The sequence below is a fragment of the Homo sapiens genome, chromosome 18 (genome assembly GCF_000001405.40).
Source record: "Homo sapiens chromosome 18, GRCh38.p14 Primary Assembly".
Taxonomy (NCBI): Eukaryota; Metazoa; Chordata; class Mammalia; order Primates; family Hominidae; genus Homo; species Homo sapiens.
This window is the reverse complement of record NC_000018.10, coordinates 22,993,648-23,018,419: the sequence shown is the minus strand read 5'-3', so window position 1 is coordinate 23,018,419 and position 24,772 is coordinate 22,993,648. Positions and strand designations below refer to the sequence as shown.

Here is a 24,772-nt window from a genome sequence, read left to right as displayed (position 1 = left end):
GTATAAAAGGAAAAATATAAGTGTTTAAGTATTTATTCATTATATCTTGTTTAGGAAGAAAAATGTTTGGTGCAGTGGCTCACCCCAGTAATCCCAGTACTTTGGGAGGCCAAGGTGGGCAGATCACCTGAGGTCGGGAGTTCGAGGCCAGCCTGACCAACATGGTGAAACCCTGTCTCTACTAAAAATACAAAATTAGCCGGGCATGGTGGCGCATGCCTGTAATCCCAGCTACTCGGGAGGCAGAGGGAGAGGCAGGAGAATCGTCTGAACCCGGGAAATGGAGGTTGTGGTGAGCTGAGATTGCACTATTGTGCTCCAGCCTAGGCAACAAGAGCAAAACTCTGTGTCAAACAAACAAACAAAAAAGAACTTGGCCAGCATGGTGGTTCATGTCTGTAATCCCAGAACTTTGGGAGGCCAAGGCAGGCGGAATAATTGAGGTCAGGAGTTCGAGACCAGCCTGGCCAAATAGTGAAACCCTGTCTCTACTAAAAATACAAAAATTAGTCATGCATGGTGGTAGGTGCCTGTAATCCCAGCTACCCGGGAAGCTGAGGCAGGAAAATTGCTTGAACCTGGGAGGTGGAGATTGCAGTGAGCCAAGATCACGCCACTACATTCCAGCCTGGGCAACAGGGCAAGACTCCGTCTCAAAAAAAAAAAAAAAAAAAAAAAGAACTTATATTGGTACCAATTATTTTTAAAAAATTATGAGTATACCTAATTTCCTGAGAATGTTGGTAAAAATAATTTTTTTTTTTTTGAGACGGAGTCTCGCTCTCTCGCCCAGGCTGGAGTGCAGTGGTGCAATCTCGGCTCACTACAAGCTCTGCCTCCCGGGTTCACGCCATTCTCCTGCCTCAGCTTCCCGAGTAGCTGGGACTACAGGCGCCCGCCACCATGCCTGGCTTTTTTTAATGTGTTTTTAGTAGAGACGGGGTTTCACCATGTTAGCCAGGATGGTCTAGATCTCCTTACCTCGTGATCCGCCCGCCTTGGCCTCCCAAAGTGCTGGGATTACAGGTGTGAGCCACTGCACCTGGCATTTTTTTTTTTTTTTTGAGACCAAGTTTCACTCTTGTTGCCCAGGCTGGAGCGCAATGGCACAATCTCGGCTCACTGCAACCTCCACCTCCCGGGTTCAAGCGATTCTCCTGCCTCAGCCTTCTGAGTAGCTAGAATTACAGGTGTGCACCACCACACCCAGCTTACTTTTGTATTTTTAGTAGAGATGGGGTTTCGCCATGTTGGCCAGGCCAGTCTCGATCTTCTGGCCTCAAGTGATCCGCCCTCCTTGGCCTCCCAAAATGCTGAGATTAGAGGCATGAGCCACCGCACCCGACCCAGAATACTCCTTATTCCTGCTGTTACGCCTGGCTCAAATAAGAGGTTTCTATAACCAATATGGTTTGTATACGTGATTTTAAAATCATGCATTTATTATCTATAAAGCCGTACTTAAAAAAAAATTAGTATCTACATTAGTACTTACAATTTCACATTCCTTACACGTGTGCCCAAGCAGTTTTCTTCTCTCCTCTTTTTTCCGAACCACCTCAATATGAGGAAAATTTTGCAAGCTAGTCTCTCTGGGGGAAAAATGAATTAAATTAACAAAGCTTAGAGTTCAGAGGAGAAATAATCCCCAAAACATTCATTCATTTTTATTTGAAATGTTTATTCAGTATGTTAGAAAAATATTGCTTCGTCAAATACTTATTAAGTGCTTACTATATATACACCAAGTATTTTTATGGGTATTTTTTTCTAACTAAAAAAATTAAAACTATTTACTATCCAAAGTGACCTGCAAATTCAGTGTAATCCCCATCAAAATACCAATAATGTCCTTCACAGAAATATTTATTTATTTAGAGACAGAGTCTTGCTCTGTTGGCCAGGCTTGAGTGCATGACATGATCTTGGCTCACTGCAACCTCCACCTCCCAGGTTCAAGCGACTCTTGTGCCTCAGCCTTCTGCGTAGCTGGGATTACAGGCCTGTACCACCACGCCTGGCTAATTTTTTATTTTTAGTAGAGATGGGGTTTCACCATGTTGGCCAGGCTAGTCTTGAACTCCTAACCTCAGGTGATCTGCCCGCCTCAGCCTCCCAAAGTGCTAGGATTACAGGCGTGAGCCACTGTGCCCAGGCTTTCACAGAAATATAAAAAAAAAATCCTAAAATTAGTCTGAAACCAGTAAAGTCATACCAATAGCCAAAGCAATCCTGAGCAAAAAAGAACAAAGCTGGATGGGCGCAGTGGCTCACTTGAGGTCAGGAGTTCGAGACCAGCCTGGCCAACGTGACAAAACCATGTCTGTGTTAAAAATACAAAAATTAGTTGGGTGTGGTGGCACAGGCCTGTAATCCCAGCTACTCAGGAGGCTGAGGCACAAGAACCGCTTGAACCCGGGAGGCAAATGTTGCAGCGAGCTGAGACTATGCCACTGCACTCTAGCCTGGGTGAGACTCTGTCTCAAAAAAAGAAAAAAAGCAAAAAAACAAAAACAAAAACAAGCTGGCGGCAACATACTATCAGACTTGAAAATATACGAAGCTACAGTTACCAAAACAGCATGGTACTGGCATAAAAACAGACACATAGAGCAATGGAACAGAGTACCAGAAATTAATGAATGCCTCTATAGTCAACTGATTTTTTTTACATAGGAGCCACGCACCTTCATTGGGGAAAGGATAGTCTATTTAATAAACGGTGCTGGTAAAACTGGATATCCACTGCAGAAGAATGAAAATAGGCCCCTATTTCTCACTCAATATAAAAATCAACTCAAAATGAGTCAAAGAACTAAATGTAAGACCCAAAACTATAAAACTACTAGAAAAAAAAAATACGGGAAATGTTTCAGGACAATGGTCTGGGAAAAGATTTTATGAATAAGACCTCAAAATAACAGACAATAAAAGCAAAAATATACAAGTGGGATTATACTGAAAGGCAATTACTATTACTTCTTATTTCTGCCTTTCACTGGCTGAAAATAACAATTAGGTTAGGAGGTAAAATATAATAACCTATTTAAAAATGAATACTGTATTATGAAACTCATAAATTGGCATTGTATAACATTAAAAAAAAATACTGCCTGTTTTCCAGTACTAAGAACCCAGATTTCAGGACTAACTTCTTCTGCCCAGAGAACAGATTCATCTGTTTGTATGCCATTTGCCATCCTATTTATGAGAAACATTACTGGCCAGGTGTGGTGGCTCATGCCTATAATCCCAGCACTTAGGGAGACTGGGGCAAAAGGGTTGCTTGAGACCAACACCAGGGGTTTGAGACCAGCCTGGGCAACATATCAAACCACCTGTCTCTACAAAAAATAAAAATAAAAAATTAGCTGGCTGTGGTGGCACACACCTATAGTCCCAGGTACTCAGGAGGCTGAGGTGAGAGGACTGCCTGAGCCCAGGAGTTTGAGGCTGCAGTGAATAATGATTGTGCCATTGCACTTCAGCCTAGGTAACAAAGTGAGATCCTGTCTCAAAACAAAACAAAACAAAAAAAAACCAGAAAAAAGAAAAAGAAAAATTACCTTATGCTGCTTCCACCTACCATGAATTCTTCAAAATATTAGGCATAACTATCATTTGTTGTTATTTTTAAATGAATAAGATCCTACTGTGAATCACGGAAACCTAGGAGGGTCAAAGCCACTAGGTATGGATTAATATGCTATGGAGTACGTTGGGAAGAAAAAGCAATCAAGAAGCACAACATTTTATTTTATTCATTATTATTTAGTTAGTTTGTTTTAAGACAGGTTCTTGCTTTGTTGCCCAGGCTGGAGTGAAGTGGCATGAGCATAGCTTACTGCAGCCTGAACTCCTGGGCTCAAGTAATCCCCCTGCCTCAGCCTCCTGAGTTAGCTAGGACTACAGGTGCAAGCCACAAGACCCAGCTAATTTTTGCTTTTTAGTACAGATGAGGTCTTACTATGTTGCCCAGGTTGGTCTTGAAGTCCTGGCCTCATGAATGTTTTCAATGTCATCTGGAATGGTGAATCCTTTCCAGAAGGTTTTCAGTTTACTTTGCCCATCACAGGAATCAATGGCAGGGATAGCCTTACAAACTGTATTTCTTAAATAAGAGAACTTGAAAGTCAAACTACTACTTGATCCAGTCTGCAGAACGATACGTGTTAGCGGGCATGAAAACAACATTCATCCAGCCTGGCCAACATGGTGAAACACTGTCTCTACTAAAAATACAAAAAAAAAAAATTAGCCAGGCGTGGTGGCACATGCCTGTAATCCCAGCTACTTGGGAGGCTGAGGCACGAGAATCACTTGAACTCGGGAGGCGGAGGTTGCAATGAGCCAAGATCGCGCCATTCACTCCAGCCTGGGTGACAGAGTGAGACTCTGTCTCTAAATAAATAAATAAATAAAAAATTCATCTCCTTGTACATCTCCATCAGAGCTCTTGGGTGACAACGTGCTTTGTCAATGAACAGTAGTATTGAGGTCACCTTTGCAAAAATTATGACAGTGGAAAAAATCTGACCTAGCTGACTTTATCTTGCTTTTAACCTTTAAGCTGTCTTTATTTTTGGGCATAGGCCAAATTAACTATGAGAAAAATTTAGTTTAACTTTAAAACAAAGATGACAACAGCTCCTTCTGGAAATCAGCCCTGTCCTTGCTCAGGGACTGAAACCACCTTTGTAAAACTAACAAATTAGCCACGAGGTTATTTTAAAACAAAGATGATTATCAGCTCCTTCCCAAAACTAACTCCTCCTTCTTGCTCAGAGACTTAAACCATCTATGTAAAACCAGCAAATCAGTCAAGAGGTTAAAATTATAGCTCAGTAGTGGAGTCATGCAGACAGAGGTCATGGGATTTCTAACCTCAATTGCTCCTACATACAAATGATATTACTATTATAAAACCTTGGGGTGTGAGGTATTTTTCAGACCCTACATTCTGACGGACCAGGTGGGCTCACCTGCGCTGGTAACTCATACCAAAAAACTGGTTCAATTGATCTTGTGATCCCACCCAAAAACCGACTCTGCAAAAAGACACCTTTGACCCCTATAATTTCATCCCCAACCCAACCAATCTCCATTCCCCGTTCCCAGCTCCCTCTCTGCCAAACTATCCTTAAAAAACCATAGCTTCCACATTTTAGGGGAAGGTGATTTAAATAATAACTCCAGTCCTCCCACTTGACTAACTCTGCAATTATTACACTCTTTCTCTACTATAATATCACTGTCTCAGTGAATCAGCTCTATTTGTATGGTGGGAAAAAAAGAAAAAACAACTGTTGGATGATTACAATATTTTGAAAGGATATCTTTTTTTTTTTTCTGATCAATAGGCTTAAAATATTTAGTAAACCATGCCATAAACAGATGTGCTGTCATCCAGGCTTTGTTGTTCTATTTCTAAAGCACAGGCACAGCAGATTGAGCATAATTCTTCAGGGTCCTAGGATTTTCAGAATGGTAAATGAGCACTGGCTTCAACTTGAAGTCACCAGCGCATTAACCCAAACAAGAGTCAACCTGTCCTTTGAAGCTCTGAAGCCAGGCACTGGTTTCTCCTCTCTAGTTATCAAAGTCATAGATGGCATCTTCTTCCAATAGAAGGCTGTTTCATCTGCACTGAAAATCTATTGTTTAGTTCAGCCACCTTCATCACTGATCTCAGCCAGATATTCTAGATCATTTGCTGCTACAGCTTCTATATCAGTACTTGCCATTTGCTTTGCACTTTTATATTATGGACATGGCTTCTTTCCTTAAACCTCATGAACCAACCTCTGCTAGTTTCAAACTTTTCTTCTGCAGCTTCCTCAAACTAAATAGAGTTAGAGGCTTGCTCTGGATTAGGCACTGGCTTAAAGGAATGCGGTGGCTGGTTTGATCTTCAATCTAGACCACTGAAATTTCCTCCATGTCAGCAGTGAGTCTGTTTCACTTTCTTACCATTGATGTGTTCACTGGAGTAGCACTTGTGATTTTCTTCAAGAACTTTCCTTTGCATTTGCAACTTGGCTGACTGGTGTAAAAGGCCTAGCTTTTTACCCATCTTGGCTTTTGAAATATCTTCCTCATTAAGCTTAATCATTTCTAGCATTTGATTTAAAAGTAAGAGATGTGCAACTCTTCCTTTCACTTGTATACTTAAAGGGCATCATAGTTGGTTTTTTTTTTTTTTTTTTTTTTTGGAGACAGCATCTCACTTTGTCTCCCAGGCTGGAGTGCAGTGGCGCGATCACAGCTCACTAGTCTCGACCTCCTGGGCTCAAGCAATCCTCCCACCTCAGCCTCCCGCAGTATAACAGTTGGAACTACAGGCGTGTGCCACCACGCTCAGCTAATTTTTTTTGTATTTTTTGTAGAGATGGAGTTCTTCCATGTTGCCCAGGCTGGTCTCGATTTGCTCATCACAGCCTCCCAAAGTTCTGGAATTACAGGCATGAGCCACCATGCCTGCTTCCATTGCAGGGTTCTTAACTGGCCTAATTTCAATGTTGTTGTGTCTCAGGGAATAGGGAGGCCCAAGAAGAGGAGGAGAGATGGGAAAATGGTCGGTTGGTGGAGCAGCCAGAACACACACGACATTCATTGATTGAGTTCGCTGTCTTACACGGGCATCGTTCATGATGACCCAAAACACTTATAATAACAGCATCAGGCCGGGCACGGTGGCTCACGCCTGTGATCCCAGCACTTTGGGAGACCTAGGCAGGCGGATCATGAGGTCAGGAGATCGAGACCATCCTGGCTAACATGGTGAAACCCCATCTCTACTAAAAAAACACAAAAAAATTAGCCAGGCGTGGTGGCGGGCACTTGTAGTCCCAGCTACACAGGAGGCTGAGGCAGGAGAATGGCATGAACCCGGGAGGCAGAGCTTGCAGTGAGACAAGATGGCACCACTGCACTCCAGCCTGGCGACAGAGCGAGACTCTGTCTCGAAAAAAAAAAAAAAATAGCATCAAAGATCACTGATCACAGAACACTGTAACAGATATAATAATGAAAAAGTTTGAAATATTGTGAGAATTACTAAAATGTGACACAGAAACATGAAGTAAGCACATGTTGTTGGAAAAATGCCGCTGACAGATTTGTTCAAACAGGGTTGCCACATACCTTCAATTTGTAAAAAACAGTATCTGCAAAGTGCAATAAAGCACCATGAAACAGAAAGTATACCTTAAATAGAAGTGTAATAAAAAGATCACATACATGCCCCTCTAGTTGGCAAGCACTTTCCCTCAAAAAGAAAAGTTTTAGTCACTCTAAGTATAAGTCCTTTTTTGTTTCAACTCAAGAACCCTCAGCTCTGGTGTGATCTGTGAATTAGAAAAGGGAAACCAGAAAAGTACACACAAAAAATATTGCCACAACTATATTTTCTTTCAAAGAGTTTATGGACTCCTAAGATTATGCAGATCACATTTTGGCCATATCCTTTCTTCTGAATATTAACTACTCCACTTCTATAGTGTCTTATCGTGACGTAGGGAATCTCCTAGCAGAACAGCATCTGTAGTAGACCTCAAAGCATCACTTAAACAAGCTTCTTGTCCCTGATACTACACAATCCATCTTCCCAGGTTTGCAGTCTTAGTATTCTCAGTGGAAAAAGCAACAATGTAACTCTGAGAATTCTAGCATCTCCATGCCTCCATCCCCACACTTCCATTCACCTCTTGTTCTCCAGCTATCTAATTGCTTCAGAATAAATAAAACTACTCATACATATTTTCTAAAAAACTAGTGAACCTTTAACATGAAACATTTAAAATGACAGTTCTTTTTTTTTTTGGAGACAGGGTCTCACTCTGTTGGCCCAGGCTGGAGTGCAGTGGTGTGATCATAGCTTACTGCAGCCTTGACTTCCTGGGCTCAAGCGATCTTCTCAAAGCTTCCTGAGTAGTTGGGACTATAGGCACACACCATCACACCTAGCTAATTTTTAATTTTTGTAGAGACGAGGTCTCACTGTGTTGCCCAGGCTGGTCTCAAACTCCTGGGCTCAAGCGATTCTTCCGCCAAAGCCTCTTGAAGTGCTGGGATTACAGGCATGAGCCACCTGGAAAATGACAGTTGTTACTCTGCAGTCCTACTTCTAGGAATCTATCTCAATGATCTACAGGCAAAAATATGAAAAGAGAATGTGCAAGGTTATTCACTGCAGCACTGTGTGCACTAGGCATAACTGTCAACAACCCAAGTGTCCACTGCTAGGGTATAAACTACAGTAGGGTCACATAATGAAGTACTATGGAGCTAAAAAGAAATGAGGAATATCGCTATATACAACTTGAGTGATTTCCAGGATCTATAGTTAAATAAAAAAAGCAGGCCAGGTGCAGTGGCTCATGCCTGTAATCCCAGCACTTTGGGAGGCCAAGGCAGGCAGATCACAAGGTCAAGAGATCGAGACCATCCTGGCCAACATGGTGAAACCCCATCTCCACTAAAAATACAAAAATTAGCTGCGCGTGGTGGCGCATGCCTGTAGTCCTAGCTACTCGGGAGGCTGAGGCAGGAGAATCGCTTGAACCCAGGAGGTGGAGGTTGCAGTGAGCTGAGATGGCGCCCCTGCACCCTAGCCTGGTGACAGAGCAAGACTCCGTCTAAAAAAGCAAAGTAGAGCAAAGTATATATAATATTCTATATGAGTCATGGATAGCATGACTATATACATGTATTTGCTTCTATTTTTTAGGATAGAAGAAAAATCATAAATTTTAAACAAATGATTACCTATAGGGATAGGGAGCTATAAGATATAGAGGCCAAGAATAGACGTGAGATTTATCTGAATATACTTGTAGTCTGGTACAATGTACATACTTTGTGTCCATTATATACATTTTATATATATATATATAAAATACATTATACTTTATGTACTTTTAAAAGAATTAAATATGAAAAGAAAAAAACCCAATTCCTAAAAAATCAAAAGCAAAATAAGGTACTGAGTTGGTGGCATAACTGCAAAAAATAATTATCCCAAATGACTTTAAAAAAAAAACGCAGTGATTTTACTGTACATTTCTAATAGAATATATTTTAAGGACAAAAGAGCATACAAAAAGTTTTCAAACAATTTTCATTAATTATATTATTGGTGGTATTATTCTGAAACTGCTTTATGTGTATTGTGGAATAAAATAAATTAAGGAATTATGTTGGTGGCACTGAGAAGTGGGATTTTCAGTAGGTGGGAAAGTAAATAAAGATGTAAGATAGAGGAGTTTACATAAATATCCTGTGGTCCTGAATTTGAGTTAGAGCGATCAGTATGAAGTATAGTTTACCTTAAAAAATCAAAGTGATATGGCCGGGTGAGGTGGCTCACGCCTGTAATCCCAGCACTTTGGGAGGCCGAAGCGGGTGGATCACGAGGTCAGGAGATCGAGACCATCCTGGCTAACACGGTGAAACCCTGTCTCTACTAAAAATACAAAAAATTAGCCAGGTGTGGTGGTGGGCGCCTGTAGTCCCAGCTACTCAGGAGGCTGAGGCAGGAGAATGGCGTGAACCCAGGAGGCAGAGCTTGCAGTGAGCCGAGATTGTGCCACTGCACTCCAGCCTGGGTGACAGAGTGAGACTCTGTCTCAAAAAAAAAAAAAAAAAAAAAATCAAAGTCATACAAAAAATCTTTTTCCTAACTCTGTCCACCTAAAAGGCTGAGAAACAATGACTAAAGTGCAACCCTAGCAGCCAGACTGTGGCCTAAACACCATTTCTCACTAAAAGGAACTAGGGCTCCAAGAAAAATGGCAGATTCCAGATAACAGAAGCAAGAAACCTATGAAAGAAGCTTCCTTTTCCTTTAGGCAAAGATGGGACAATCTGGGTATCTCTAAGGATAATGACTGCAATGGATTACAACACATCAAATATACTTAAATTGATGAGTATATAATGACACCTAAACAAAAAACAACCTAGTCACATTTGGAATGCTAGAGTACCATTTGTTTGGAAAACTGGTAACTAAAAAAGAAGAATTAAGCATTAAACAAAATGACAGCTCTTTAAGAGTTTCAGAGGAATAAAAAAAATCTTGGCCTGTTAGATTTCTAAAATTCTCAACAGAAATAAAAATAAAAGGAGTAACTTTACTGAGTAACTCAATTTACCAACATCTTAAAGAAAAAAATAACAATTTTTTTTGAATGAATTACTATGTCTTCAATTTGCTTTAAGAACAAATAGTAGGTGACTATAAGTAACAGAATTTGCAGTCCTTGTGAAAGGCAGAAGGTCGCATTATGGTTAAATCAAGATGCTTAGCGCCAGGCGTGGTGGTTCACGCCTGTAATCCCAGCACTTTGGGAGGCCGAGGCGGGTGGATCACGAGGTCAGGAGATCGAGACCATATTGGCTAACATGGTGAAACCCTGTCTCTACTAAAAATACAAAAAATTAGCCAGGTGTTGTGGTGGGCACCTGTAATCCCAGCTACTCGCGAGGCTGATGAAGGAGAATTGCTTGAACCCAGGAGGCAGAGGTTGCAGTGAGCCAAGATCATGCCATTGCACTCCAGCCTGGGCAACCAGAGCGAAACTCCATTTCAAAAAAAAAAACCAAAAAAACAAAACATGCTTAAAGGTTTTGTTTTTAAAGATTCAAAAATCCTTATAAAATAATTCTGAAGCATAATAAACCTAAGTCTTACTACCTAAAGTCTTTTTTTTTTTTTTTTCTGAGACGGAGTCTCGCTCTGTTGCCCAGGCTGGAGTGCAGTGGCGCGATCTCGGCACACTGCAAGCTCCACCTCCCGAGTTCACGCCATTCTCCTGCCTCCTGAGTAGCGGTGACTACAGGTGCCTGCCACCACACCTGGCTAATTTTTTGTATTTTTAGTAGAGACGGGGTTTCACCATGTTATCCAGGATGGTCTCAATTTCCTGACCTTTTGATCCCCCCGCCTGGGCCTCCCAAAGTGCTGGGATTACAAGCGTGAGCCACCATGCCTGGCCTACCTAAAGTCTTATACTACATAAAACTTATACAATTTAATAAATGCCCCAAGTTGAAAAGATAGAATAAAAAGACATTTAAAAAAAATAATAAAACAGACAGGCTGGGTGTGGTGGCTCATGCCTGTAATCCCAGCAGTTTGGGAGGCTGAGGCGGGTGGATCACCTGAGGTCAGGAGTTCGAGACCAGCCTGGCCAACATGGTGAAATCCCATCTCTAATAAAAATACACAAATTATCCAGGCCTGGTGGTGGGCACCTGTAATCCCAGCTACTCGGGAGGCGGGGGCAGGAGAATAACTTGAACCCAGGAGACAGAGGTTGCAGTGAGCCGAGATTGCGCCACTGTACTCCAGCCGGGGCAACAGAGTGAAACTCTGTCTCCAAAAAAAAAAAAAAAAGAAATACACACACACACATGCACACGCACACACACAAAAGCAGAGAAAATAACTATTACCACTGCCAAAAAAAGGTGATGGTGCCAAAAATTTCCTTATTTGTAAAATTTGTCGTTTTTATGCTTGAGTCTCTTTTTTATGACCATAAAGTAAATAATTTTAATTTAACCAAAGTAGCAATTTAACAGTTTAGAGATACTCTGACAAAGACAGCTCGACTGGCCAGGTGTGGTGGCTCAAGCCTGTAATCCCAGCACTTTGAGAGGCCGAGGCAGATGGATGGCTTGAGCCCAGGAGTTCAAGATTAGCCTTGGCAACGTGGTGAAACCCTGTCTCTACAAAAAATAAAAAAGTTAGCCAGGTGTGGTAGTATGTGCCTGTAGTCCCAGATACTCAGGAGGCTGAGGTGGGAGTATTGCTTGAGCCTAGGAGGCAGAGGTTGCAGTGAGCTGAGTTTACGCCATTGCACTCTAGCCTGGGTGACAGAGCAAGACTCTGTCTTTAAAAAAAAAGAAAAAAGAGAGAGAAATAAAAGACAGCTCTATTGTACTTCCAGTCACATTGCTGGTATAAATAAAAACCAACTTACCTTTCATCACCTTTAAAATACGGCTCCACAAACGCTTTCTGCTTGACTTTGTCTTGTTTATCACCATGAGCTATAAATAAAACATGCACATTACAAACTAAATGTAGAACTTAATGAGAAATAATTAACTAGCTTGGAAGAAAATGACACGCACTCAAACTTCCATTTTTATTGGGTTTCATGCTCCAGGCCTCTGAGCAACTCATTTAAATTTTCTGCAACTTTGTAACTATTTTTTTTTTTTTCTGAGCCGGTGTCTTGCTCTGTTGCTTAGGCTGGAGTGCAGTGGCACAATCTCTGCTCACTGCAAGCTCCACCTCCCGGGTTCACGCCATCCTCTTGCCTCAGCCTCCTGAGTAGTTGGGACTACAGGCGCCCACCACCATGCCGGGCTAATCTTTTGTATTTTTAGTAGAGACAGGGTTTCACCATGTTAGCCAGGATGGTCTCAATCTCCTGACCTCATGATCCGCCCGCCTCGGCCTCCCAAAGTGCTGGGATTACAGGCGTGAGCCACTGCACCCTGCCTCTGCAACTACTTTTTTCTTTCTTTTGCATCTGCATAATGAGGAGGGTGCTGTTTCATTCAACTCAAAATTACTAGACAGCTAAAAGTCATTATCTCAGGAAGTATTTTAGAGTATAAAAGAAATACTCAGATGCCCACTATTATCATTTGACAAGAAAGAACAACAAAAGACAGCTTTCAATATTAATTTTGGCCGGGTGTGGTGGCTCACACCTGTAATCTCAGCACTTTGGGAGGCCGAGGTGGGTGGATCACCTGAGGTCAGGAGTTTGAGATCAGCCTGGCCAACATGGTGAAACCCTGTCTCTACTCAAAATACAAAAATTAGCTGGGCATGGTGGCACATGCCTGTAATCCCAGCTACTCGGGAGGCTGAGGCAGGAGAATCTCTTGAACCAGGGAGTTGGAGGTTGCAGTGAGCTGAGATTGTGCCACTGCACTCCAGCCTGGCAACAGAGCAAGACTCCGTCTCAAAAAAATAAAAAAAATTTACACATAAGTATACATCTTTATACAGTGTGATACTCTGATATATGTACACAATGTGTAAAGACCAAATTAGGGTAATTAGCATATCTGTCACCTCAAACATTTGTCATTTCTTTGTGTTGGGAACATTCAAAATCTGTGCTTTTAGCTATCTGAGAACATATATTGTTGTTAATTATAGTCACCATATAGTGCTATTGAACACTACAATTTATTCCTTCTATTTAGCTTTTTATTTTTCTTTGTTTTCTTGAGATGGAGTCTTGCTCTGTTGCCTAGGTTGGAGTGCAGTGGCATGATCTAGGCTCACTGCAACTTCTGCCTCCCAGGTTCAAGAGATTCTCTTGCCTCAGCCTCCCAAGTAGCTGGGACTACTAGGCGCACGCCACCACACCCGGCTAATGTTTTGTATCTTTAGTAGAGACGGGGTTTCACTGTGTTAGCCAGGATGGTCTCGATCTCCTGACTTTGTGATCCGCCTGCCTCGGCCTCCCAAAGTGTTGGGATTACAGGCGTAAGCCACTGTGCCCGGCTCCCTTATTTATTTTTCTTAGAGATCAGGTGTTGCTATGTTGCCCAGGCTGGAGGGCAGGGGCAATTCATAGGCACCGCACCACTACTGATCAGCATGCAAGTTTTGACCTGCTCCATTTTTGAAGTGGGCCAGTTCACTGCTCCTTGAGCAACTTAGTGGTCTCCTGCTTCTAAGAGGTCACCATATTGATGCCAAACTTAATATGGATCATACCTCAGAACTCCAATACAGCACTACTCCAAGAACTCCAAGGCTCAAGCTATCCTCCTGCCTCAGCCTCTTGGGTAGCTGGGACTATGGGTGCCTGCCACCTTGCTTGGCTAGCTATATTTTTATACCAATTAACCCACCTTTGGCTATCCCAGCCTTCCCCACCTCTAGTAACTGCTATTCTACTCTCTACTTCTATGAGATCAACTTTTTTAGATTCCACATATGAATAAGAACATGTGGTATTTATCTTTCTGTGCCTGGCTTATTTCACTTAATATGATGTTCTCCAAGCTCATCGATGTTTGCACAAATGACAGAATTTTGTTCTTTTTAGTGGTTAAATAGTATTTTTGTGTGTCTATGTATATGTGTGTGTGTGTGTATATATATATATACACCTATCTAGCTATATATCATTTTCTTTATCTGTAAGTAGACACTTAGGCTGATTCCGTATCTTGGCTATTCTGAACAGTGCTGCAATAAACGTGAGTGCAGATACCTCTTTAACATACTGATTTCCTTTCCTTTGGATATACACCCAGTAGTGGGACTGCTGGATCTATGACAGTTCCATTTTTAGTTTTTTTTTTTTTTTTTTTTTTTTTTTGAGACGGGGTCTTGCGCTGTTGCCCAGGCTGGAGCACAGTGGCGTGATCTTGGCTCACTGCAAGTTCCACCTCCCGGGTTCACGCTATTCTCCTGCCTGAGCCTCCCGAGTAGCTGGGACTACAGGCACCTGCCACCATGCCCGGTTAATTTTTTTGTATTTTCAGGAGACGGGGTTTCAGCGTGTTAGCCAGGATGGTCTCGATCTCCTGACCTCGTGATCCGCCCGCCTTGGCCATTTTTAGTTTTCTGAGGAATCTTCATATCATTTTCTAAAATGGCTATACTAATTTACATTGTCACCAATCCTGTTGATTTTTACAATGCATCTTTAAGGTAAGTTATAACTAGGGAATAAACAGATTAAAGATTTTATCAGAAAATTGGTGACAAAGATTAAAACCTAGAGCTCAGAACTTGGGACTTGACTCCTAAGATGTCTAGACTCAAATAGCTAAACGCTAGCATCTATTCAAAGAATCAAAATTTACTGAGCATTGTGCTAAGTTCCAGACATACAATGTGTAACGAGAGAGCAGGTCTCCTGTCTTCATGGAGTTTACATTACAGTGAAGAAAATAGACATTAAGCAAGCAGAGAGTTAAACATTAAGCAGGTAGACAGCTAAGGGTTATGTGAGAAAGCACATACAAGGTAGTAACTGGGTTGAGAAAATAAAATAAATATGTAACAAATCCTAAATTATATGCCTGGGTGACTGGGAAAAATAAAAACGTTTGAAGATTATTTGGTTGGAAGTAAATGGAAATTGGCTTAGACATTACGTTTAAGCTGAAGAGACGCAAAAGTATCTCACAGTACTCAGAAATGCAAGACTGGGATTCATCAGAGAAATCAAACCTAGAGATGCAGATTTGGAATCATTTTCAGAGGTAAGGCTGATAAAAGTTGTGAGAGAAAAGTTGTGAGGAAGAAAGAGTCTTGGGGATATTCTAGGAAACAAGCTGTGACAAATGAAAAGAACGAGGCAGCATCGTCAGAAAAGCTAAGTGAGAAGAAATTCTGGGATAGTCAGTGTCAAATGTAACTTAAAAGAAGGAACAGAATAAGTACACCTTTGCGAAAAATAGTCTTTTTCTTTGAAATGAAACCTATTTGCAAAAGGTCCTTCTTGGGGGGAAAAAGGATACCGAACAGCTGTGAATTTTTATTTCAAAATTTACTTGATGGAGTTTTTGCCATGGACTAAGCAAGCAAAAGCCTACTGTCCTCTATCTTTGGTTTGGGTCTCACTCACTTTTGAGTTAAGGGCTGTTGTTTCAAAAACCTGATGGAAACATGAGCATAATCAAGATTGTGCCACAGTAGAAGGTATGTTCATTTAAACCAGCATAAAACAATCTTTGCACTAGATTAAAAATTCGGACCAATTTAATAAAACAAGGAGAAAAATGAGAGATTTAACAAAAATTACAATTTTCAATCCAGATTATCTACTTAGATTTTCAATTAGAGTATTCTTTTTCTGATTGCTATCCTACATTATAAAGTTACTGCTTCTAATGAAAGAGATATTAAGACTAATACACATAGTTACATTAGGTATTTTGTCTGGTAAGATAAAGCATTCACAGCAGAAAACAGATCTGAATTTTCCTTTTTTGAATTTAATTAATTAATTATTATTTTTTTGAGACAGGGTCTCACTCTGTCGCCCAGGCTGAAGTACAGTCAGCGGTTCACTGATGCAGCCACGACCTCCTGGGTGTTCAAGCGATCTTCTCGCTCCAGCCCCCAAGTAGCTGGGACTACAGGTATGTGCCATCATGCCGAGCTAATTTTTGTAGAAATGAGGTTTTATCACATTGCCCAGGCTGGTCTTGAACTCTCCTGAGCTCAAGCAATCTGTCTGCCTTGGCCTTCCAAAGTGCTGGGATTACAGGTGTGAACCACTGTGCCTGGCTGGATCTGAATGTTGTACAAAACTTTCTCCTTCTACTCTATTACAATTAATTTAATAATTAATAGACATTTCTCAAAAATTTTATCAATTTTATGCGTATTTAGAAAGAAATTTGTAATACCAAACTAATCTTAGTTTCTTAGTTCTAATAAATATTTTATAGCTATATAACACATTAACATAAGGAGAGGTTGGGTCAAAGGTACAGGAGAATGCTGAAAAATTTTCTGGAACTCTTATCAGTGTAAAATTATCTCAAAATTTTAAAAACCTGAAAAAATTTATACAAGAAATATGAAACTTCAATTGTTGATATGTCATCAAGCCTTTGTTAATTAGCTTGATAACTTAACTTACTGAATTCTGCAACTGAGAAGCCATAATTAAACAGAAAAAAATCTTACTGTGTAGTTTCTTTGTGGCAGTAGACAATTCCTCCTCTTCATCTGCTGCTTGGGAGAAACTGTCTGCCAAACAGGATTCATACTCTTCATGTGTTGTCCGATCAAACATATCTTCCAAGCTATCATTCATTTTTCTTTCTTCATCTATGTAAAAGAGCACTGGCTTAGGGCAATAAGCAAGCTTTTGCTTAATATGTAGACCATCATGAAACTGTAGTAACTACCACACAATAACAGAATGCAGTCCTTAAAGACACTTCTTAAAATACGGTTGTTAAAATATGGATTATATATTGGGTACTGAGCTTAGTAACTGTGTAATGTAATAATATGTGCAACAAATTCCCATGACACGTGTTTATCTATGTTACAAACCTTCTTATGTACCCACAAACCTAAAATAAAAATTTGATAGTTTAAAAAATGTTTTAAAAAAATGTGGATTACAGGCCTTACTTTGCAGAGTATTCTTTCAGTGAATAGATGTAATATAGGTAGTGAAAGGCTTGTAGACACGTATGTAAAAGATAGTTCTAAGAATGTTACTTGCAAGCTGTCTTGTTAAGAGTGTTAAATTCAGTGAATATAAGTGAGTAACAAACTATAATGTATGTAATAAAGTGTTTAAAGGCATGATTATTATGATGAGGGCTGCAGGCCTAGCTGTGAAGAGTGTTCTTTTGGTGAACAGATGTAATGCATGTAGTGAAGTGTTTGTGGACACATGCTAACATGATTCTAAGAATATTAGTTGCAAGCTGTAAGGCTGAGTGTTAATTCAGTTACTCTCAGTGAGTAGCAAACTGTAACGTATGTAATGAAGTGTTTAAAGACACTTCTTAAATCATGATTCTTATAATGAGGTTTAATTCTTGTAATCTGTGTATGAGGTAAGAATAAACTCCCAACTCTGGGTAGTTACTGTACATTTACAAAGGCTTTATGTTATGGCTTTAAATGTTCTTTACTCATGCTTTTTTTTTTTTTTTGAGACGGAGTCTTGCTCTGTCACCCGGGCTGGAGTGCAGTGAGGCGATATTGGCTCACTGCAACCTCGCCTCCTGGGTTCAAGCAATCCTTCTGCTTCAGCCTCCCAAGTAGCTGGAATTAGAGGTGTGCGCCACCATACCCGGCTAATGTTTGTATTTTTAGTAGAGATGGGGTTTCACCGTGTTGGCCAGGCTGGTCTCAAACTCCTGACCTCAAGTGATCCGCCCACCTAGGCCTCCCAAAATACTGGGATTACAGGTGCGAGTCACTGTGCTCGACCTTTCATGCTTACTTTTTGTAATGAAGTAGCAAAAAAGTATTTTCTTTCATCTTCATTAGCATCTGGTAGTTTAGTATTACTAGAAATTAGGAATTCAATGCCATATTTGACACGGAAAATGAAAAATTCATCTTCACAGATCTAACCACATTTCCCATTATATAATCACATTTAAAAAACACTAGAGTTTAAATCCAGTTGGCTAACAAATATGACAGAAAAGAGGCCTAAGATTATTCTATATAAGTACCACCTCTCCCAACGCACAGCACTCTCTCACTCTTACCTTGCTTTACCTTTCTCCTGGACTTACCATCATCTATTATATATACAATTGCTTATTTCTCTCATTAGAATGTACGTTCCATAAGGTAAGTACTTTTGTTCTGTTTATTCATTATCTCTAGTTCCTAAAATACTTCCTACTACAAAATTTTTGCTTGATATTTATTGATAATTAAACATTTATTCTGCATGCTGAAGGTCAAATATGTAAATAAAATACAACTTCTATGCACCAGGCATTGTGCTAGGCATCCTCGGAACATTCTGTGTATGCTGTTTGTAAAGCAAAATGTTAAATTGATGATTTATTTTTGTTTGATTTGTGATTGCGAAATACCTGAAGACAGAGAGTATATCCTTGTTGATCTTTCTGTCACAGCACCTAGAAAATCTAACAGAGTAGGTGCATGAAAATTTTCTGAATTGAAATACTGGCAGTAATATGGAATTTTTATTGGTATATTTCATTTTAAACCAATTCTAAGTGCTGGAAAAGTTTTACCTTATGGGGTAATTTTTTTTTTTTTTAATATAACCTCACTAATGTCTCCTATTCCATGTGCGGTTCTTACAACATGATGTCAACACTCCTCCCACTGAGTGTCACTGAGGGCCTGTTCATTTCGCTTTATGCCTGTGCAGATCTTTGTGACACTATGTTACCTCTGAGGTCATAAAAATGTCACCTGCTTCTGCTTTGTTCTGTTGGGGTGCCAACTCTGGGAACTTATCCTCCATGTGAAGAGGAAGCTCAAATGAGCCTAAGTGAATAAGCCCTGAGAGTAAATGAGGAGATGCCAATTCACTCTCCAGCTGCCCAGCCCTCTGCTGTTTCAGTTCCAGCCACCATCTGCCTACAACTGCATGAGACCCTGAAACAGAACTGACCAGCCAAGCCTTTCCTGAATTCCTGAGCCACAGGAACTATGAAGATAAGAAAATGGTATTGTTTGAATCCTCTGAGTTATTCAAGTGATTCATTCATTATGTAGCAATACTATCCATAGCACTTTATTAGCCAAAATTATCTCTATAATTTCCCCTCATTAGTCCAAGTGCTAATTTCTCTTTCACATGATACTTGCATCAAATAAATTTGAGAAACTATTGTCTTCTGAATAGATTTAAAGTGGTCATACTTTAGATTTTCTCTTTTCTACAAAAATGAGAAAAACATGATCAGAGGCTAGTATCAGGAACAAAATAATCTTAAAAGCAAAGTATCCTCTTAAGAAGAGTTATTTAGTGTCATACAAGCCATAAAATGGCAATAAACTACTGTGAAGGTTTTTTCTTTTAATAGGTATTGGCTTCTCTACCCAGGTAACCATCTGCTTCATCATATGGTTTGCTATTTGTCATTGAAGAACAAATAAGGCAAAGACTACTAAAGTTTTCTTTGATTTACTGCATTTAAGGCAGCAGTAGATAAGTAGATTCAAAAGAAGCCAGGGCAAGACTATTTTATTTTTTGCTCTGAGCAGGTAGACTATAGAAAATTCAGCAGAAGATAAGGAATGCACACCCAGCCTCAATGTATTCGGCTTCTAACAAATGATCACTGGGGAATGTCTCTGCTTTTAGCACTGCTTCCCCATGTGGCAGGCCCTCGCTCTTCAATACATAAGGATGATAAATGACAACTGTTCATAGTCTAGCTGTTCTCATGTCATGTGCCTCTACAGTTAGGAATGTTGCTAAGGTACTGCTAACCAAAATCCTCCTATTGTTCTCATCTCTTCCGGAAAATCAAGACTTTGGGTAAAGAATTAATAGTTTCTCACTACAAAGGGCTGTAGACCACTAATTTGGCCAAATTGCCTTATCAGTAGAGGTGGAATACAGCAGATTAACTCAGCATATACACTATCATTCTGAATGTTAACCTGTAAAACTATACTAAGACTTCTCGGTAGATTTCTCCTTTCTTTCCTTATCAAATTTCTTTAGAAAACGTTAATTCTAACACAGGACTCAAGACTTACTGTTATACCACTTATAAAAAATTGTCTACACCAGGGATCAGCAAACTTTTTCTTAAAGGGTCAGAAAATAACTATTTTAGGCTTGTGGGGCTATAAGGTCTCTGCATCAACTACTCAACTCTGCAGCTGTATGGAACAAACAGCGATGGGCAATACATAAAGAAATGAATAAGGCTGTGCTCTGGTAGAACTTTATTTACAAAACTGGTAGCTGGCTGTCATTTGCAAATCCCTGGAAGCCATATGAATCTTTTCTGAAATGAAATTAGTTTGGTTAAAGACTTTTTTTCTGACGCACTGAAACTGAGCTTTCCTAAGAGGAACATAAAGTTAACAGAGCAGGAAAAAACCTGCTTTATGGTGAAGAGGTCACTTGAGCTAATCAGTGCAATGGTACAACTACAAACTTCACACAACGTTATTAAAAAAAATAACAAAACAAAAACAGATCTTACTTGAACTTTTTTCTCCCTTCTGCTCTTGCTTCTTCATTTTTAAGAGAACGGTTTCACTAACCAATGTACAGTCCATGTCCACTGTCTCTCCTCCTAATTTTGACTGACTGCCATCCTAAATAAATATTTTAAAAATCAAAAATTTTAACAATTATTCCTTTATGGTCTTATATTTAATTTTTACAAAACATTTTGGTAAAATATACATAACATACATTTTACAACTTTTAAGCATTAAGCTATATTTGCTTTTATACTTTACGAACAGGTAAGGATTTAGGTTTTACTGCTTATAAAACATTTTAGCTTCAATATAATCAAGCCTAGGAAAAGAAGGACTGCTGCCAAGGAAAGGGAGAATTATTTACCACTAAACACCCCTGAACTTTTCCTGCCTTTATTTTCCAATTTGCCTTATAGTAATGAACATCAATGTACACTAAGAACACTTTCAAAAATTAAATTAAATTTCTTGATAGGCATATATTACTCAGCGTATGTTAAATACTTTGTTATTAATATGCTACCAAGTGAAAGAGAACTTCTGAAACTACACAGAAGCTAAATACAAGACAAAAAACTATTTCCACTATGAATTTTAACTTTTAAAAATAGTCAACTTGGAAAATGAATTTTATGGTACATTATTTTAAAGGTAATGAAGACATGATGAATTATTTTAATGAATGATAAAATTATATAAGATATGCAGCATTTTGCATTATTTTAATTTATGAGACAGGGTCTTGCTCTGGTTGCCTAGGCTGGATGTGCAGTGGTGTGATCATACCTCACTGCAGCCTCGAATTCCTGGGTTCAAGGTATCCTCCCAACCTCAGCCTCCCAAGTAGCTAGGACTACAGGTATGCACTGCCATGCCCAGCTAACTTTAAAATTTCCTATAGAGACAGGGCCTTGCTATATTGCCCAGGCTGGTCTCGAATTCCTGGCTTCAAGTGATTCTCTCTCTTCGACCTCCCAGAGTGTTGGGATTACAGGCATGAGCCACTGCGCCTGCCCACTGCATTCTTTTAAAAACTATATTAATATTTTTCAGTAAAGGCCTTTAAAGTCAGAAAGTATTACCCTTTAAAAAATACCATAAAGTTAGAAGAATAAGCATTTTTATTTCTTAATTTTCTGCATAAATACATGTAGGTTTTAAGACGTATCTGATTATCTTAAGGTGATACAGTGAGTCACGAGAGGAGGTTGACTAACAACTCATTGGAATAAAAGTCAAATGAGTTTTGGTTTTACTTTTTAACTTACCTTTGTATCTATTACAGTAACATCCATTTTATACTGAGAAAGGTCTGCTCCCGGATCTATACTCCACTGGATATTTTCAAAGGATACATCTTAGGTAAAGGGAAAGAGCATGCAATTAAAAAACTGATTTCAAAAATTCTCATCACTTTAAAATATTATGGGACCTAAAGAATAGAAAATTTTTGCAAATCATATGTCTGGTAAAGGACTTATATCTAAGATATATAAAGAACTCTCACAGCTCCATAATAAAAAGACAAATATCCCAATTAAAGATGGGCAAAGGATCTAAATAGACAGTTCTCCAAAGAAGATATACAAATTGCCAATAAACATGAAAGGATGCTCAACATCATCAGCAGTCAAGGAAATGCAAACCAAAACCACGAGATGGCAAAAATCAAAAAGCTATAACAAGTGCTAGTGAGGAGGTGGAGATACTGGGACCCTCACATACTGCTGGTGGGAATGTGAAATGGTGTAGCTGCTTTGGAAAACAGGCAGTCTTTCAAAAGGTAAAATGTAGAATTGGCATATGGCCCAACAATTCCACTCCTAGGTATAATCCAAGAAAAATGAAAACATACATCCACACAAAAACCTGTATACAAATGTTCATAGCAGCATTGTTCATAATAGCAAAAAAGTGACAACTTGAATGTCAGCTAATAAATACCTAAAATATGGTATACTTATGCAATAAAAAATTATCCAATAAAAAGAAATAAAATATTGATATATGCTGTAACACAGATAACTGAAAACATTATGCCAAGTGAAAGAAGTAACAAAAGATCATATATTAAACGATTCCATTTATATGAAAACTCCCAGAATAGGCAAATCTACAAAGAGAGAAAGTAGATTTAAGGTGCCTAGGACTGCAGAGGGTATATGGGGAAGGAAAGTGATGAAAATGTTGTAAACCTAGACTACAGTGATGGTTGTACAACTCTGTGGGTATACCAAACCACTGAATTGAACATTTTAATGGGTGATTTTTATGGTATGTGATTTATATTTCAATTAAAATTTTTTAAAATTAAAAACTATAACATTGATGGGGTTTTCAATATATGTAGATAAAATACACAGGAACTACATAAAGTGTAGTTACAGAACATGAAATAGTACATTAACTCCAAGTAGATTGTAAAAGGCTAAGTAGGTAGATACTGTAATCCCTAGAGCAACCATGAAAAAAATAAAAACAAAAAGCTCAAAAAAAATCATGAATGATAGTGAAAAAAATGTTTTCATATAGAGACTAAAACACTCACTGGAAAAACAACTAATGACTGTGCTTCAGGAAAAAGGGAAAATAAACCCAGAATAAAGGAATAACTTGCCAATGAAGAATACAAGAAAAAATACTGCACTTGAACTACAGAAATGTTTGGTGGCTGAAAAAAAAAATTACTTTTTTAAAGATAGCAGGCTGGGCGTGGGTGGTTCACACCTGTAATCCCAGCACTTTGGGAGGCCAAGGCAGGCAGATGGCTTGAGTCCAGTAGTTCGAGACCAACCTGGGCAACAAGGCGAAACCCAGTCACTTCAAAAAATAAAAAAATCAGCTGGGTGTGGTGGTGCATGCTTGTAGTCCCAGCTATCCAGGGGGCTGAGATGGGAGGATCCACCTGAGCCTGGGAGGTCAAGGCTGCAAGTGAGCCGTGATCATGCCACTGCACTCCAGTCTGGGTGACAGAGTAGGACCCTGTCTCAAATAATAATAATAATAATAATAAAATATAGCAAAATTATGAAAAGATGCCTATATATCTTAAGGCAAACAATTTTTTTTTTCTTTTTTTTTTTTGAGACGGAGTCTTGCTCTGTCACCCAGGCTGGAGTGCAGTGCAGTGGCACGATCTCGGCTCACTGCAAGCTCCACCTCCCGGGTTCACACCATTCTCCTGCCTCAGCCTCCCGAATAGCTGGGACTACAGGCGCCTGCCACCATGCCTGGCTTATTTTTTGTGTTTTTAGTAGAGATGGGGTTTCACCACGTTAGCCAGGATGGTCTCGATCTCCTGACATCGTGATCCACCAGCGTCGGCCTCCCAAAGTGCTGGGATTACAGGTGTGAGCCACCGTACCGGGCCAACAATGTTTTTAAAGGAGTTTAAAAACGTATATAAGTGGCCGGGCGCAGTGACTCACGCCTGTAATCCCAGCACTTTGGGAGGCCGACGCTGGTGGATCACGATGTCAGGAGATCTAGACCATCCTGGCTAATGTGGTGAAACCCCGTCTCTACTAAAAATACAAAAAAAAAAAATTAGCCGGGCATGGTGGGCGCCTATAGTCCCAGCTACTCGGGAGGCTGAGGCAGGAGAATGGTGTGAACCCGGGAGGCGGAGCTTGCAGTGAGCCGAGATCGCGCCACTGCACTCCAGCCTGGGCGACAGAGCGAGACTCCGTCTCAAAAAAAAAAAAAAAAAAAAAAAAGAACAGAAAAATCACCGGTAAAATGTGAGAATCGTCCTATAAATACAGACACCTGAAGGAAGAAATAAGTTTTTTTCCAAAACAATTCAATCTATTTAAAAAAGTAAATAATGACATTCAATCTGAAGTCATTAAAAAAGTGGAGATCCTGTTTATGGTGTACACACCTTGGTTGTTTTGTAGAGACTTTATTTTACCAGTTCTACATGGATTTAACTGAAGAACTGATGCAAGTTCACATCCTCCATGGTCTGACCTGGTTTGTATTTTTATTGGCTCATGAGAACCAGCACTCTAAAACAGAAATAATTGTTAGCTCTAAATGAAATCACAAGCAATCATTTTAATCAAAATCCTTGAACATTTA

General features: G+C 39.7%; 1 protein-coding gene and 1 pseudogene across 14 annotated transcripts in view; both read right to left on the bottom strand.

The window, feature by feature from the left end:
* The window catches only part of RBBP8 (RB binding protein 8, endonuclease), a 112,348-nt gene that overhangs the window by 8,067 nt on the left and 79,509 nt on the right, over window positions 1-24,772 (bottom strand). For 9 of the 14 annotated variants that reach the window (XM_047437728.1, XM_006722519.3, XM_011526132.3 and 6 more), the window contains 6 exons: window positions 24,573-24,699; window positions 21,958-22,046; window positions 20,686-20,800; window positions 16,691-16,834; window positions 11,988-12,057; window positions 1,496-1,592 (listed from right to left, as the gene is read on the bottom strand). In XM_047437728.1, the coding sequence (XP_047293684.1) occupies window positions 1,496-1,592; window positions 11,988-12,057; window positions 16,691-16,834; window positions 20,686-20,800; window positions 21,958-22,046; window positions 24,573-24,699 (642 nt within the window). The remainder of the gene's footprint in view (window positions 1-1,495; window positions 1,593-11,987; window positions 12,058-16,690; window positions 16,835-20,685; window positions 20,801-21,957; window positions 22,047-24,572; window positions 24,700-24,772) is intronic. The other 5 variants (XM_047437729.1, XM_005258325.4, XM_047437731.1 and 2 more) reach the window with 2 other exon arrangements.
* RN7SL745P (RNA, 7SL, cytoplasmic 745, pseudogene) lies at window positions 13,558-13,856 on the bottom strand (annotated as a pseudogene).